Source organism: Homo sapiens, chromosome 8, assembly GCF_000001405.40.
Source record: "Homo sapiens chromosome 8, GRCh38.p14 Primary Assembly".
Taxonomy (NCBI): Eukaryota; Metazoa; Chordata; class Mammalia; order Primates; family Hominidae; genus Homo; species Homo sapiens.
The window spans coordinates 11964312-11979684 of record NC_000008.11 but is presented as its reverse complement, the minus strand read 5'-3'; the positions used below and the strand labels follow the sequence as shown (position 1 = coordinate 11979684).

General features: G+C 48.1%; 1 protein-coding gene across 1 annotated transcript; it reads left to right on the top strand.

Moving 5' to 3' along the window:
* The first annotated feature begins 5085 nt into the window (after nucleotides 1–5085).
* Nucleotides 5086–5748, top strand: DEFB136 (defensin beta 136). The gene is made up of 2 exons (NM_001033018.2): nucleotides 5086–5140; nucleotides 5567–5748. Exons 1-2 carry the CDS (start codon nucleotides 5086–5088, stop codon nucleotides 5746–5748), a joined length of 237 nt encoding a protein of 78 aa, NP_001028190.2.
* The last annotated feature ends 9625 nt before the right edge of the window (nucleotides 5749–15373 follow it).

Genomic DNA, 15373 nt, shown 5'->3' with positions numbered 1-15373 from the left:
TCAGGCACATTGTCAGAGTCTTTTCCACAATTCTACCTTCCCTTTTCTTGCCATAAATGCTGATGTGAGGTTTGCTCCTCAATCTTATTTTCTTCTTACTCTTCTGAATCTCTCTTGTTGAATTCATTCATTTTTATGACTCTTTGACTTTTGATTCTAAAATTTATATATGCAATCTCAGTTCCTCTTTTAAACTTCCCAACTGTCTACTTGGCTGCTCCACCTAGACATCCTACAGGAAGCTCAAACTCAACCTATCCAAAACATTACTAATTTTTTTCTCATCCTTCCTCCCAAAACCTCTGGTGTTTCCAGTGAACTTCACCACTGAACCCACAAACTTAAATCAGAAACCTGGAAATTATCCTAACTACCTTTCTCTTTCTAAATTCCACAGATATTAAAAATCAAGTATTTATTTATTTTATTTCTTATTGCTCTTGAGATGAATATTCTCCTTTTTACACTACTGCCAATACTCTTACTTTACTTCTCACTTGATCTTGGAGTCATAAAGCCTTGTAATGGGTCTCCATGACTTTGATTTTACAACACCCTAAACCCATATTAAGACAAGTGTGGACTTGATTCCCCCAGCTTAAACTCCTAAGCACAGCATTAAAATACCCTTAGTGACATTATGCTAAGTGAAATAAGTCAAGCACAGAAAGACAAATACCGCATAATCTTACTTATATGTGGAATCTAGAAAAGTCAAACTCAGAAGCAGGGAGAAGAATGGTGGTTACCAGAGGCTAGGGCCAGGAGTGCAGAGAGGGGAGATATTGGTCAAAGGGTACAAAGTTTCATTTTGTCAAGACGCCTGAGTAAAGACATGGGACACTCTCCCTCTCCAGAAAAAAAGAACCAAAATTGTGAATTACACCTAGGATAGAACATCTATGAGAAAACTCCAGAGTTAAACAGAGAAGTTACAGGAAACACTGGAGCCATAGAAGGAGCAGGATGTGGGTTGGCTAGGAGCCTGGAATGGCTCCCATTTGCTGGGAAAAGGTAAATGAGAGCCTCTCGGGGGTTCACATCTCCATCTCAGACTACTGTAACCCTAGCAGCAGGAGGGCTTTTATCCCACGTGGGCCCTGAGATTAGCGTGGGTGGTGATCAGGATACCTCTCAAGGGCATTGCTCCACACAGGGAAGTCATGTTGAGTTATACACATCTCCTGAGATCTAAGCGGCTGCAGCACAGTGCTAGTGCAAGCGCCCAGCCTCCACCAGAATGAATCCTGTCCTGGGAACCAAGAGGCCCCACATCTCCACAGAGGAGAACCCCCACTGATATCCCCTGACGTCCACCCAGATGGCTGCAGTGGCTCGGCACTGGCTGAACCCAGTGATGCTACAGAGTCCTCAGCACTTTAGCCCAAGTGGAGTACTACTCCCTGGGGAAAGGATGGTGCAGTGCACCCAGGAGACTCTCGCAGGGACAAAGGGAGCCCTACTGGGAGCTTTCCAGAGCCTGACAGCTCCCGTCTGGGACTGTAAGAAGCAACCCTGCCCCCACCAGTAGAATGACATCTATGCTTGGGCTCACCCCCTAGGCCACTGCAGCAGCTGCTGGTCCCGCCAGGAGTCAAAACAAGTTGGTCTGAGAGCTGCCTCTCTGGATCTGTGAATAACACCCTGCCCTCACTAGCAGTACAGCCCCTGTGCTCCAGCCCATACACAGAAGGTGGGGTCTCTTCCTTTACTCCCATGCACAACACTACAGCTGCTGCTGCTGCTACTGGCAGCCAATGCGAGTGAATCCAGGAGCTGCTTGTCTGGGTCTGTGAATAGCGACCACTCCCTGACCAGCAGCAAGGCCTTTGTGCTTGAGCTCACATGCAGAAGGCAGGATCCCTCCGCTGCCCTGAACAACACTGCAGCCACGAGCTGAAGCAAGCACTACTCAGAGCCTGAGAATTTTCTGCTTAGGGCTGTGATCACCAACCTCATCCCTATCAGAAGCACATCCTCTGTGCTTTCGTTTGTGTTCTGAATACAGGCTCCCTCCCCATATACACCATGGCAGCTACTGCTACTGCTGGAAATGAAGTGTGAACTCCCAGAGCCTGAGAGCTCCTTGCAAGGGACAGTTGAGAGCAACCTTACCCATACCAGCAGCAGGATTGCTGTGCTCTAGCACAACCTCTGAGGTCAGGCTCTCCACTCACCACCACAGATCGCTCAGCCCCACCTACTACAGCCTACACTCCTGCACGCCACCAAAGCCTTGACGTCATGCCCCCAGATACTGAGCACCCCATCTGAAGACTAGGAATTACCCGATCCATTCCACCATCTCTGGTCCTTGTACACTCCTCCTAGGGACCTGAAGATGGGCCCACCTAGCCTGCTGCCAACACCACCAACCACAGCCACCCACATGTGTTGCCTAGGAGCCTAGAGACTAGCCTGCCAAGCCCATCATAGCCACCACTAACATTAGGAAGTGCACCTGGGAGCCTGAGTGTTATCCTGCACCACTGCTACCCTCACTCACACTATTCATGCTGCCCAGGGACCTGAGAACCTACCCACCCATCCAGCCCTCCACTGCCACTGCCAGTACCAAGAAATCTGCCTGGGATTGGCCCACCTGGACCTGCTAACACTGGTGCCCACATACACCATCCAGTGACCCAAGGTCACGTATGCATTGTCTGTCATTATCACTACAAGGGCTTGAGGAGTGGCCAACCTGGCATCCCTAACCCCAGCAAAGCCTCACCATAGCTTCCATTAGCAACTGCAGCCAAGCCACTGAGGAAATTACAGATACCACTGATGCTATTCACAGCCAAAGAGATTCATGGGATGGGGAGACAGGTCCTTGGGATTTTACTGTTGTCTAGGAAGCAGAATCTTTTCCAACTTTATTTCGTGTAAAGTGTTCATTACAGCATGAATACAAGATGTATTCAATCCACAAATACAACAGCCCACAGGCATTCAGGAGGTTGTACATCACAAAAGAGAAAAATCAAGACTAACAGCATAATGAACTGTTGTTTGGGGGAATTTGACCATCTGATTCTAAAATCTGTATGGAAATGAAAAGAACCAAAAATAGCCAAGACACTCACACACACAAAAAAGATAAGTGGGAAGATTTGGCTCTGTTGGAGACAGACTCATAGATAGATAGATAGATAGATAGATAGATAGATAGATAGATAGATAGATAGATGATAGATAGATCTTATTTAAAAGTTTATTAACTTATTATGAAGCTATAGCAGTAAGACAGCATGGCATTAGTGCAAGTATAGACAAATAGAACAATAGAACAGATTAAGGTTCCCAGCATCAGACTCACGCATATGTGGAGCCTGATTTAAAACAAAGGTGGCACAGCTAGACAGTAGAGAAACAACAATCTTTTCAATAATTTTTGGTCTTGAAACAATTGGTTTTCCATAGGGGAAAAGAAAACTAAATAGGACCCCTAATTTATACCATACACAGAAATCATCACAGGTGGTTATAGAGCTAAATGAGAAAGAAAAATAATAAAGAAAAAAGAAAGATAATATAGGAAATAGTTTTATGACCTGGGAGTAGGGAAAGATTAGTAAGCAAGAACCAGAAAATTAAGAATATGTGTGCTTACTGTATTGGCTGGGTGGGGTGGCTCATGCCTGTAATCCCAGCACTTTGGAAGGCTGAGGCAAGTGGATCCCCTGAGGTCAGGAGTTCCAGACCAGCCTGGCCAACGTGGCAAAACCCCATCTCTACTAAAAATACAAAAATTAGCCAGGTGTGGTGGTGGGCACCTGTAGTCCCAGCTACTTCGGAGGCTGAGGCAGGAGAATCGTTCGAACCCAGGAGATGGAGGTTGCAGTAAGCCGAGTTTGGGCCATTGCACTCCAGCCTGGGTGATGAGCAAGACTGTCTCAAAAAACAATAATAATAATAATATTGAGTACCTACTGTATGGCAGTGTGCGTGCAAAGCATTTTATAAGCTGTATCTCATTTCATCCTGAAAAAAAACCACGCATAACCTTCCAATGCACTTTTTGAGGAGTTCTTGAGGCTGAGATGCTAAATAATGCATCTGAGGGTCTAGGCCTGCAAAGCAGAGTGTACCCAGGAATACCATGCTCCACTGACACACCACACACAGCCCTGTGGTTGTTGGCTGCCTGCGTAAAAGCCTGCCTTAAGGGTCAGAACAAAATCAAAGTTAGTGTCATCTTCACCCTCAGACATCCCTCATCACCCCAAGAGAGACAGGCCTAAGGGCCCTTCTCCAGGGCTGAGTCTCTGTCACTCCAGAGAAGCCCTGTCTGGCTCCACTCTGGACACTGTGCATCCAACCTTGAACACAGCACTGAACCGACTCTTCTAAGGGAGAGTTTCAACTCCTCAACTCCAAAAAAGAAATCTCTCCTAGAACCTTCAGAGTCCCCTCATCCTAGCCAACGTTTCATACCAGCCATTTGGAGAACAAAGTCCATCAGTGAACTTTTCCAGGACTTTTTTTTTTTTTTTTTTTTGCAGTATCTGCCTTCAGCCAGGTAAATAAGTCAGCTGCTAGACAAGGAAGCTGTCCCTTCTCCACTAGTTCTGAGCCCCTACCTTCTCTTGGTCAGGCCACTGGTTGACAATTTGAGAGACTCCGTGTGTCGGAACTGTCTTTCCAGGCTTAAATTCAGCCTGTGTTTCATAACACCCTTTCTCTGCGCTCCTGAGCTTTCAGTGGTGCTCCAGAGGAAAGGAGAGACAGAGCAGACATTTTCACTGCCATGTTTATATCAAAGTACATTTGAAGGCAGAGGGAAAGCGCTCAGGCCTAGGCATGGGGATCCTGGTCTTTTCTCCTATTCTGCTATCAGGAAACGTGACAGCCTTAGCTGAGTCTCTGGTTTTCCCGCGGTTTGTAGAAAAGGAGGTAGCACTGAAAGGCCAGGGCCTTTTCTTCCTCGAATTCTGCAGAACCCTGTGATCTCCTCAGTCTGCCCCTCCAGGAAGAGTGAGGCCAGGGTCCAGCCCCACCCATCGCAGCCCAGCCCAGCTCTATAAAGGAGCCTCCCAGGCAGACACCACTGGGAGTTCCAACTCTGTGCCCTCTTCGGCCATGAACCTCTGTCTTTCTGCATTACTCTTTTTCCTGGTGATCTTACTGCCTTCAGGTAAGACAGTGGGCGTGAGTCTGAACATAAAAGTGGGTGTTCCCAAAGATTGAGATGCTTAAAAAACCCTCTAACTATAAGCCCAGCAACAGGACACCAATATCAAATGGGCCACCATGTTAGGGGCATGGTGAGCGGACCCCAGCTCCTGCCCTGCTCTGCTGTTGCTGCAGCTGGAAGATCTGCCAGTGCACCGGGGACGGGGGTGGATGTCATTGTGCACACAGATCGTGCAGCCACCCAGATTCCTATCTCCCCTCCAATGCCTCTGGCTACCCTGAGCTTTATCTGCCTTGCTGAGTTGTGATAAGAGGTGAGGTAAATCACAACTAACAAGCCATCAACCAGGAGGTGATGGCAAGCCTAGGATTTCTCCCAGCCTCATTAAGATTGATTTTTCTTTTCTGTGGTCTCTCCCCGCTTCAGGAAAAGGTATGTTTGGGAATGATGGAGTCAAAGTTCGCACCTGCACTAGCCAGAAAGCCGTATGTTTCTTCGGGTGTCCGCCAGGATACAGGTGGATTGCGTTCTGCCACAATATTCTGTCTTGCTGTAAAAATATGACACGTTTTCAACCCCCGCAAGCCAAAGATCCATGGGTTCATTAAAAGGATATGTGAATGGCTCAAAGTACTACACTCCTAATCTGTGTGTCAGGATCTTAGAGCTCGTAAGTGAGCCATGGGCAGAAATGAGGACCACATTCTGACAATTTACTGGCAAAATTCCAGAAACATTTTGTAAAGGCAGCACTGCCATGAAATGCATCCCCTGTTATTTTTCCTACCCTCCCATCTCCAATCACTCATTCCTCTTTCAAATTCAAATTCAGGCCAGGCGCAGTGGCTCACGCCTGCCCGCCTGTAATCCCAACACTTTGGGAGGCTAAGGTGAGCAGATCACTTGAGGTCAGGAGTTTGTGACCAGCCTGGCCAACATGGTGAAACCTCATCTCTACTAAAAATACAAAAATCTTCCGGGTGTGGTGGGTGCATGTAATCCTAGCTACTCAGGAGGCTGAGGCAGGAGAATTGCTTGAACCCGGGAGACGGAGGTTGCATTGAAAAGAGATCACGACACTGCACTCCAGCCTGGACAACAGAGTGAGATTCCGTCTCAAAAAATAATAATAAAAATTCAAATTCTATTGATTAATACAAGTTCACAGGCCCAAGCAATGATATATTCTGGCCATAGAAACAAAAGCTAACCACACACCAGTCACACACTTGAGTGGTTTACATCTATTAGGGAAATTACTCCACACAATAAAATCTACAATTTCTCCCATTTGGCAGATGAAGAATATTTTCCAAGGTCACACGACAAGAGTTAGTCCCAGGTTTAAATCCACAGAGTCTGCACGCAGTGTCTTGAGTGTAAAGTTGCACCACCTCTCCATTAGTAAGCATGGGAATCAAGCTAGATTGTGGTTCCAGTGAGGAGGCAAGAATCCAACTAGACCCCCCGAATGGCAAGACCCTCAATGCTCATCCTGTGGTTTAAAGCCATCATGCTTCTGGTTGCCAAGTTGCTTTCATGGCTCTGTACTCAGTGGCTTTCACGAGTCCCGATCGGTTTCACCCTAAAATCCCACACACCGAACATGCTACTTTCACCAGTGCGGTGACACACTGGACCCTACACCCATTCCAAACCTGCAGCTGTCTGAAGGCAGCACTGTCCAAGAGCACGTCCTCACCATCCACTCCAGGGTTCCCACCTGGAGGCAGAGGCCTCGGGTCTGCATTGAGACCCTCCTCATTCTCTACTAAGAAAACAGAAGGGCAGCTGAGTTTTGGATCTCCCTTCTCCACAAACATGCCTAGCAGGCACACTCTGAACCTCTGCACCAAACGCTAAGCAGGGGTGAGCCGACTGCTCAGAGCCCAGCCTCAACATCGATCACCCAAATTCCAGCAAAGAAGAAAAATCAGAGATCATCATGGTCCATGAGGCGAGCCTCCGAGGGTATCATGCTTCAGCTGATCCCTTCGGGTCTGTGAGTGTGTCTACAGTGGTCCTGTGGCATCAGACCACCTGCACGTGCTCATTTCAAACCACCCCCTTATCAAAAAAAAAAAAAAAAACAGGGAAGGACATTGCAAAAGTTCACAAAAGAATATCAATGCAATGAAATTAACATAAAAATAGAAAATAAAAGAGAAAACTGGGCGAAGGGAAAAAGCAGATATTCTTTCACCAGATGTCAAAAGGATCTAATGCTCAAAAAAGCCAAAAACTCCAACCCTTTTCTTGCAGTTTCTAAGGCCATGGTCACTCCAGCCTGGTGGAGATGCTGCTCTAAGTTTGACAGTGGGGTGCAGAAAAGACACAACTCTCTCCAGCAGCATTCAGAGAGGACTGAAACGTTTACAATTACTTTTGCTGAAAACCCACACAAGAAACAAGAATACTAAATTATCACACACAAACAGCATAATGTATTGACCCTGTAGCCCACTGGGTGTGGACTTTGAGTCAATGGGCAGTGTCTCTGAGGGGGCCACAGGTGTCAATCTCACTCTCCAAGTCCCAGGGCACCCATGAGGAGGGTCCAACATTTAGGCTTAGAGACCTATATCCCCAGAAATTTTACTGGGGTGAATGACAGAATCACATGGGTGCCATTGAGATATCAGTTCGTCCTGGTGCAGCAAACTGTTTCAGGGCCATGACTGGACAGAACAGCCCTGCAGAGCCCCCTTGGTTTATGGGCACGTCTCACATCTATTCTGTGGGGGTAAGATGTATTCCCAGTACACTCTCTGTATGCTTAAGACATCCAGAGTTAATGTCTGTTACTTGAAACCAAGAAATCTGGCCAGGTGCGGTGGCTCATGCCTGTAATCCCAGCACTTAGGGAAGCCGAGGTGGGAAGATCATCTGAGGTCAGGAGTTTGATACTAGCCTGGCCAACATGGTGAAACTTCATCTCTACAAAAATACAAAAACTAGCTGGGCTGGTCTCGAACTCTTGACCTCAGGTGATCCATCCACCTCGACCTTCCAAAGTGCTGGGATTACAGGTAGGCCCACCGCAACTGGCCAAATCACATATATTCAAAAGTACTCAGCTGTCAAATAATAATCACTGAGGACTCCCCATCCTGTGTCTGTCAAGTCACATTAAAGGGTTCAGATCTGGAGCCACGGCACTTTTCCAAAAGCCAGCATCTCTGCCTTTCAAGATCCACGTATGCAGAAGCTCAGTTTTGTTCAACAAACGTCAGAGGCCTCTTACCACCCAGTTCCTGATTTTGCATCTCAAGAACTCCAAAAACCATGCTGGCAACAACCATTTTTAGTGGAATGAGCAAGTGCGAGGAGAGGAGTGAAAAGGAGAGGGCGCTGTTGTATTATTGCCTCTGTGGAGCCCTTCTAGAAACCAGTTCAAGTTCTCCCTCTGGTCATTGGTCTGGAAGTGAGGGGACCTGAGAAGAGCAATCAACTTCTGCACAACAGAACCAGGTCATGTTGTGTCCCCCGAGATCATTATGATGTCCACCATCACTGAGATGGTGTCAAACCCTAAGAAAGGAAGGATTCTGTTAGCAAGACTAGCTGTCCCTACCATTGGATGTTCAGAGATCCCGAATAAGAGCAGAGGTCTCATCAGTTTCCTGAAATTGGCCTTTGGCAGGGAGCACATGTCTCCCATCTCCACGATAACCACCCACTGTGCTGGGCTCATGCCCAGACATCCCAGCAGACGGGACTGAGCATGGCATGGCTGGTGGGTCACAGGCAGACCCTGAGGTTCAGGCCTGGCCTGTTGGAAAGTACGGTCAGCCACAGCGGTATAGAAGCTAAATTCCCTGCCTTCTTTCCCCCGACCATCGAGCAATAGTGAGCGCCACCTGTCGGATCCAGGTGGTGTGTTATCCCCACAAAATCTAGGTGGAAGCCTCTGCTGCTCAGGCCTTCTCTGCTAGCACCAGCAGAGAGCTTCTGACCCGATCAGGCAGGAAAGCCTGGAGTCAACCTGTTGGGACAATAGTGCCTTCCTTATCTGCTGGTGCTTTGGTTTGGGGACACGGACAGCTTTTTTCTCAAATTATGAGACATCCCAGCTCTTCTTAGCCCACTCATCTGCTTCTGAGGACAAAAGCAATTCCATCGCACAGAGTTGATGGGAGTAGCAGTTCCTTAAGCTCCCTCCGAAAGATACCTGAGTGCTTCATATTGCAGCATATTTCACAAGCCATGCCAACCCTCACAGTTAGGGGTTTAAGCAGCCAATGCCAATGGCCACATGCTGAAGGGACAATGACAGTATTCTAGACCTCAGTTACGGCTTCTTCTTTTTTTTTCTTTTTTGAGATGGAGTCTCGCTCTGTTGCCAGGCTGCAGTGCAGTGGTGCGATCTTGGCTCACTGCAACCTCCACCTCCCAGGTTCAAGCAATTTTCCTGCCTCAGCCTCCTGAGTAGCTGGGACTATGGGCAAGAGCTACCAGGCCCAACTAATTTTTTTGTATTTTTAGTAGAGAAGGGGTTTCACTGTGTTGGCCAGGCTGGTCTTGAGCCCCTGACCTCAGGTGATCCACTGGCCTCAACCTCCCAAAGTGCTGGGATTACAGGCATGAGCCACCGCGCCCAGCCTACGTCATGGCTTCTTAACTCAGGCTGGAGCCAGGACGAGGGTGCAATACAGGAGCAACTGACTGTGGGCATGAGGTGTTCAGATGGATTCCTCGCCCTGATTCCTGAGGTTGTATGTGAGGAAGTCTTCCAATCTTATTCTCTAAAATTGGAGCAAATTGGCCGGGCGCGGTGGCTCACGCCTGTAATCCCAGCACTTTGGGAGGCCGAGGTGGGCGGATCACGAGGTCAGGAAATCGAGACCATCCTGGCTAACACGGTGAAACCCCATCTCTACTAAAAATACAAAAAATTAGCCAGGTGTGGTGGTGGGCACCTGTAGTCCCAGCTATTCCGGAGGCTGAGACAGAGAATGGCGGAGCTCGCAGTGAGCCGAGATCACACCACTGCATTCCATCCAGCCTGGGCGACAGAGTGAGACTCTGTCTCAATAAAAAAAAAAAAAAAAAAAAAATGGAGGAAATTGGCTGGGTGCAGTGGTTCATGCCTGTAATCCCAGCACTTTGGGAGGCCAAGGCGGGCAGATCACGAGGTCAGGAGTTCAAGACCAGCCTGGCGAATATGATGAAATTCCATCTCTACTAAAAATACAAAAATTAGCCGAGCGTGGTGGCAGGTGCCTGTAATCCCAGCTACTTGGGCGGCTGAAGCAGGAGAATCGCTTGAACCCAGGAAGCAGAGGTTGCAGTGAGCCGAGATGGCACTACTGCACTCTAGCCTGGGTGACAAAGCAAGACTCTGTCTCGAAAAAAAAATATTGAAGCAGATTACTCAACTAATTGCCAACCCATCAGGGGACCTGATAGTGTAAAATCTTTCATAACTAAAGTACAGGTGTAAAAACTAACATTCAGAGCAGGCAAGACATTTTCCCAGGACCACACAACTCATCAGTGTGCAAAACTGGGATTCAAACACAGATCTAGCCACTCCCTTTCTGCTTCCTGATCTGTAACATGAAGCCTCAGTCTCTCTCAGAGCACTGCTGGAACAGGAAGGGGAACAGGTGAACTGCAGCTTTCTGGAGATGTGGAGTCAGGTTAGAAAAGCATGGGTCAGGATGTCAGGAGAAATTTTCCCTTCAAACCGGACCATGAGGCAGGGATCCTTAAGCTCATAGCCTGGGACTTTGACAGGACCTGACAGGTTGAACCTCGTCTGAGAAATTCCCTTCCCAGTATCTGGGCAGGAGATCTCTAGCTTCTGTCTGGTTTCCCCCACAGGTTAGCACTGCTCAGCTCTGCTCAACTGGGGAGCTAGACAAGAGAGGAACTGAGAAGAAGGAGAAGCTGCAGAAGAAACTGACCTTTCTTTCAACTGCCCTGGAGTTAGCTCACTCCCAGAGGGATAAAAGACCTTGAATCAAAGTCTTTGGGCTGCATTTGATGGTGCTTTTCCTCCCACAACCTCAGGGGCAGGCTGACTCCCAGGTGCCTGGCTGGCTCCAACCTGAGTCCTGACAGGTGCAACCTGTATCTTGATGGCCTTCGATGGGCCTGGAAAAGGGCAGAAGGAGTACAAATGTTGCTGGTGTCTCAGGTCTCTTTCACAGACCAAAACCTCCCTGGACTAGGGAAAGGCGTTTATTGGATTTGGCAGATTATCGAAAGCCTTACACCCTCTCCGTGTACACTCACGAGGCCCTGTCATCTGCAGCTGCAGCTGGGCCTCCTGACACTGAGCAGGTGTTCTGTGTAGAATGCGCCCTTCACACACACCAGAAATCAGTGGCTTTCTGACTTTAAAAGTAGATGTCTTGTGGGCTTGGTAACCACAACCTAAATGGTTTCTAGGGAATGCAGCCAAATCAACTTTCTGAACTTCTATTTGCTGGGTTTGTTTCATCTCAAATGCTGAGAACTGTGAGCCAGGCCGAAATATAAAAGCCCTTTGGGGCTGAGTGCAATGGTTCATGCCTGCAATCCCAGCACTTTGGAACTCCAAAGTGGGGCAGGTTGCTTGAACACAGGCATTTAAGGCCAGCCTGGGCAACATGGCGAAACCCCCTATCTACAAAAAATACAAAACTTAGCCAGGTGTGGTGGCTTGCACCGGTACTCCCAGCTACTCAGGAGGCTGAGGTGGGGGGATCACTTGAGCCTGGGGAGACTGAGGCTGCAGTGAGCCATGATCGCACCACTGTGCACAGCCTGGGTGAGACACCAAGACCCTGTCCCAAAAATTAAAATTTAAAAAGCCCCTCAGGAGACCCAGCCTAATATTACTGAACATGCTTGTGCTTTTCTTCACCTTTGCTCTAGGGGAATCTAAAATCCCTCCCAGTTCTGCAATTCCCTGCTGTGGGCTCAGAAGCCTTAGTTATTCTGGAAGCAGCAAGAGGTTCATTTTAGGCCAAAATCTATTTATTCTTCTCTCAATGTCTTTCAAAGGAAAATGGAAAGTAATGCAGTGCTCCACATCTTCATTGAGGAAGAACATGATGTGTCCCCTTCGTTTCTCTAAAGGAAATGCTGCTTAGGCAAGTGTCTAAGCCGTGAAGATCCCCCACCCTCGCTCTCACTCTCCTTCTCTTAGTCCTCTCTGTCTCACGTAAAGCAGACTCTTTGGAGGATACACAGAGTTATTACAAATAAATACTGGGTTGTGCTGGCCCAGGGTATGCTGACTTTCTGCTCAGCCCATGGCAAACCACCATGGCTAAGAACTCGTTCTCCACACCCCTCTACCCGCTTAGCCCAGGCAGCATCCTGACCTGTGCCTGCAGGACACCTGGTGTGGGACTCAAGAAATATCCGATGACAGAGTGCATGAGAGGCAGTAGGGACAGGGCAAGCAGGGAGCACATGCTGCTCCCAGGGCCGCTGGCTGCCTGTCCTGGGAACAGGGGCCTGGGATGCCACCCAAATGTCATCCATGGGCGCAGGACCATGGGCTGGTTGTGAGTGGGCTTTAGTATTGAACAGCTGGATCTCAAACCTGATTCTTCCTGAGCCACTGATTAGCTGGATGGTTATGAACGAGTCATTTAACCTCTATCAGCTTCAATGTGCTCTTCCCTAAGACAGGGATAATAAGAGAAGTTAATTCACAGGACTGTTGGGAGGATTAAGTGAGCTTAAAAAGTACTGAGCATGGCGGTTGGCAAATAGCAAGTGCTCGATGAGTATTAACCAGTAAATAAGCACTCAGCAGGTAGTAGCTGTCGCTGCTGCTGCTGCTGCTGTTATTTGCAAGTGGGTTTTGCCTTCTAATTCTTGCCGAATTATCTTCCCGCTGCGCCACATCAATGGCACGATGGGTCAGGGCAGCCACCTCCAGTGCCCCGTAGGCTCAGATTCACTAACAGTTAGAAGCACCTGTTCCTAGATGTACCCATTAATGGACAGGAGAGTCTGCGGCCCACCCATTAGGGACAGAGTTCCCACAGCCATCCTGTCTTCCCAGTCATAGCAGCACCCCTCCCCCAGAAGCACCCTTCCCTCAGCAGCCTCACACCTGCCTGCTAGGAGGTCGTGTGGCTCATGAGCAAAGCCCAGGTCTGGGAGCCGGGGGTTTCCTCACCCATGCACTGACCGTGTCTATGACTCTAGGCACGTCACCTCAACTGCCTGCAATGTGAAGGCTTGGACTGAGGTACCATGGTGCTACCTACTAAGGAAGAAAGAGGGCACCAGTCTAGAAAACATCTGGAGACAGTAGACAGTGCCCAGGAAGCACCAGCTCATGACTAGCATGGAGGCATTGCAGAAATACACAGCACAGGGCCGGGTGCAGTGGCTCACACCTGTAATCCCAGCACTTTGGGTTGCTGAGATGGGAGGATTGCTGGAGCCCAGAAGTTCAAGACCAGCCTGGGCAACATAGTGAGACCCCATCTTTACAAAAAATATACAAAATTAGCTGGGCGTGCTGGTGTGCATCTATAATCCCAGCTATTTGGGGGTCTGAGGTGAGAGGATCGCTTGAGCACTGGAGGTCGAGGTTGCAGTGAGTCATGATCACACCACCATACCAATTGGGCAACAGAGTGAGACCCTGTCTCTTAAAAAAAGAAGAAGAAAGAGGAATATGCCGTGCCCCATGGTCAGTTTCCTGCCAGGGGTGAAGGGAAGTGGCATCGTCACAAGAGAATTTCAAAACAATCATAAAAGCGACTAAGAGTCAGTGTATTATTTATTATTACCATGCTCCAGCAATTCTAGACAAGGTCAGTGATAACACTCCCGGGGGTGGGTGAGGGCAATCAGTCCCACTGTCCTCCACCTTGGTGTGCCATCGCCCGGGGGCCACAGCCTCCCACCTCTCCGATTCACGCATTCCCTAAAATGCTCCATGCCAGGGCCCAGCCCCCTTTGCCAGAATCACATTATTTTTCTCTCTGCTCTGGCTGCTGAATGCTCCCCACCCTATCTCACTAAGATCACCTCTAGCTGGGAGCCCTCAACCCTCTTGGGCTCCTGATGTTCCTTTCAGCTTTACTTCCTAACTGTGCCCACTCCCTGCTCTGTACCTGGCAGGGAAACTGGGAAAGTTTCCGGCATCAAAACGGAGTCCCTTGTGTTAAAAAAACCTTAACAAGGCCGGGCATGGGGGCTCACGCCTGTAATCCCAGCACTTTGGGAGGCCAAGGTGGGTGGATCACCTGAGGTCAGGAGTTCAAGATCAGCCTGGCCAACATGGTGAAACCCCGTCCACTAAAAATACAAAAAAAAAAAATTAGCCAAGCATGGTGGCACATGCCTGTAATCCCAGGTACTCAGGAGGCTGAGTCAGGAGAATTGCTTGAACCCAGGAGATGGAGGTTGCAATGAGCCAAGATTGTGCCACTACACTCCAGCCTGAGTGACTCTGTCTCAAAAACAAAAAAACCTTAACAAATAGAGCCAGGGAAGGTTGAGAAGGGAGGGTTGTCTTGCACAAATGCCCAATCAGAATTATCACAAAAACCCTGCAAAAACCACAACCTTGCACAAAAGCCATCTCAACCTTACACACACACACACACAAATATTTTTGTGAGGGCAGCTGTCCGGCAGCTTCCTGTCCAGCCTCAGACAGGTGCCACCCCTGTTATTGATCCTTGTAGCCAAGGATAATTATCTGAAAACAATTATGCGATCTTCCTCATTTTTCCTTTAACAACATTTGTCTTCCTTTTTCCCAATATGCACATAGTTTACTAGGACACATGTAGACATGTAGCCCCATTGCAATGCTCTATTCCCCCCAAATAAACATGATTTTTCTAGAAAAAAAAAAAAGGAGAGAAAAAACATTGTTTCCCAAACCTGCATTACACTTCTCAGTTGGATGTATTCCCATTGCAATTCCCATTCCTGAATAAACATCATTTTCTTTCTGTCTGTTATCTAGGTTGAAAAAACATAGCCAACAAAAGAGAATATAGGCTTGAATATTCATTGCACCAGCTCTGAAATCATGAGCTATTCAAGTAGACTCTCTGAAGCTCGGTTTTCTCATCTATAAATGGAGATGGTTTGTGCCATACCCACTTGTGAAGATCTACTGAGATACTATATATATGAGTCTTTGAAAGAGTTACACAAGTATGAGTTGCTTTTTGATTTGTTTATCACCATTTTCATTATTTTGCTCAGCTCAAGCCCAGCCCTGGGACCCTGACAAGTGCTGGGTCAGGCAAGGCCAGG

Coding starts and splice junctions, on each gene's coding strand:
- DEFB136 (NM_001033018.2), top strand. CDS start 5,086: ATGAACCTCTGTCTTTCTGCATTACTCTTTTTCCTGGTGATCTTACTG. Junction 5,141..5,566: donor GGTGATCTTACTGCCTTCAG/GTAAGACAGTGG, acceptor TCCCCGCTTCAG/GAAAAGGTATGTTTGGGAAT.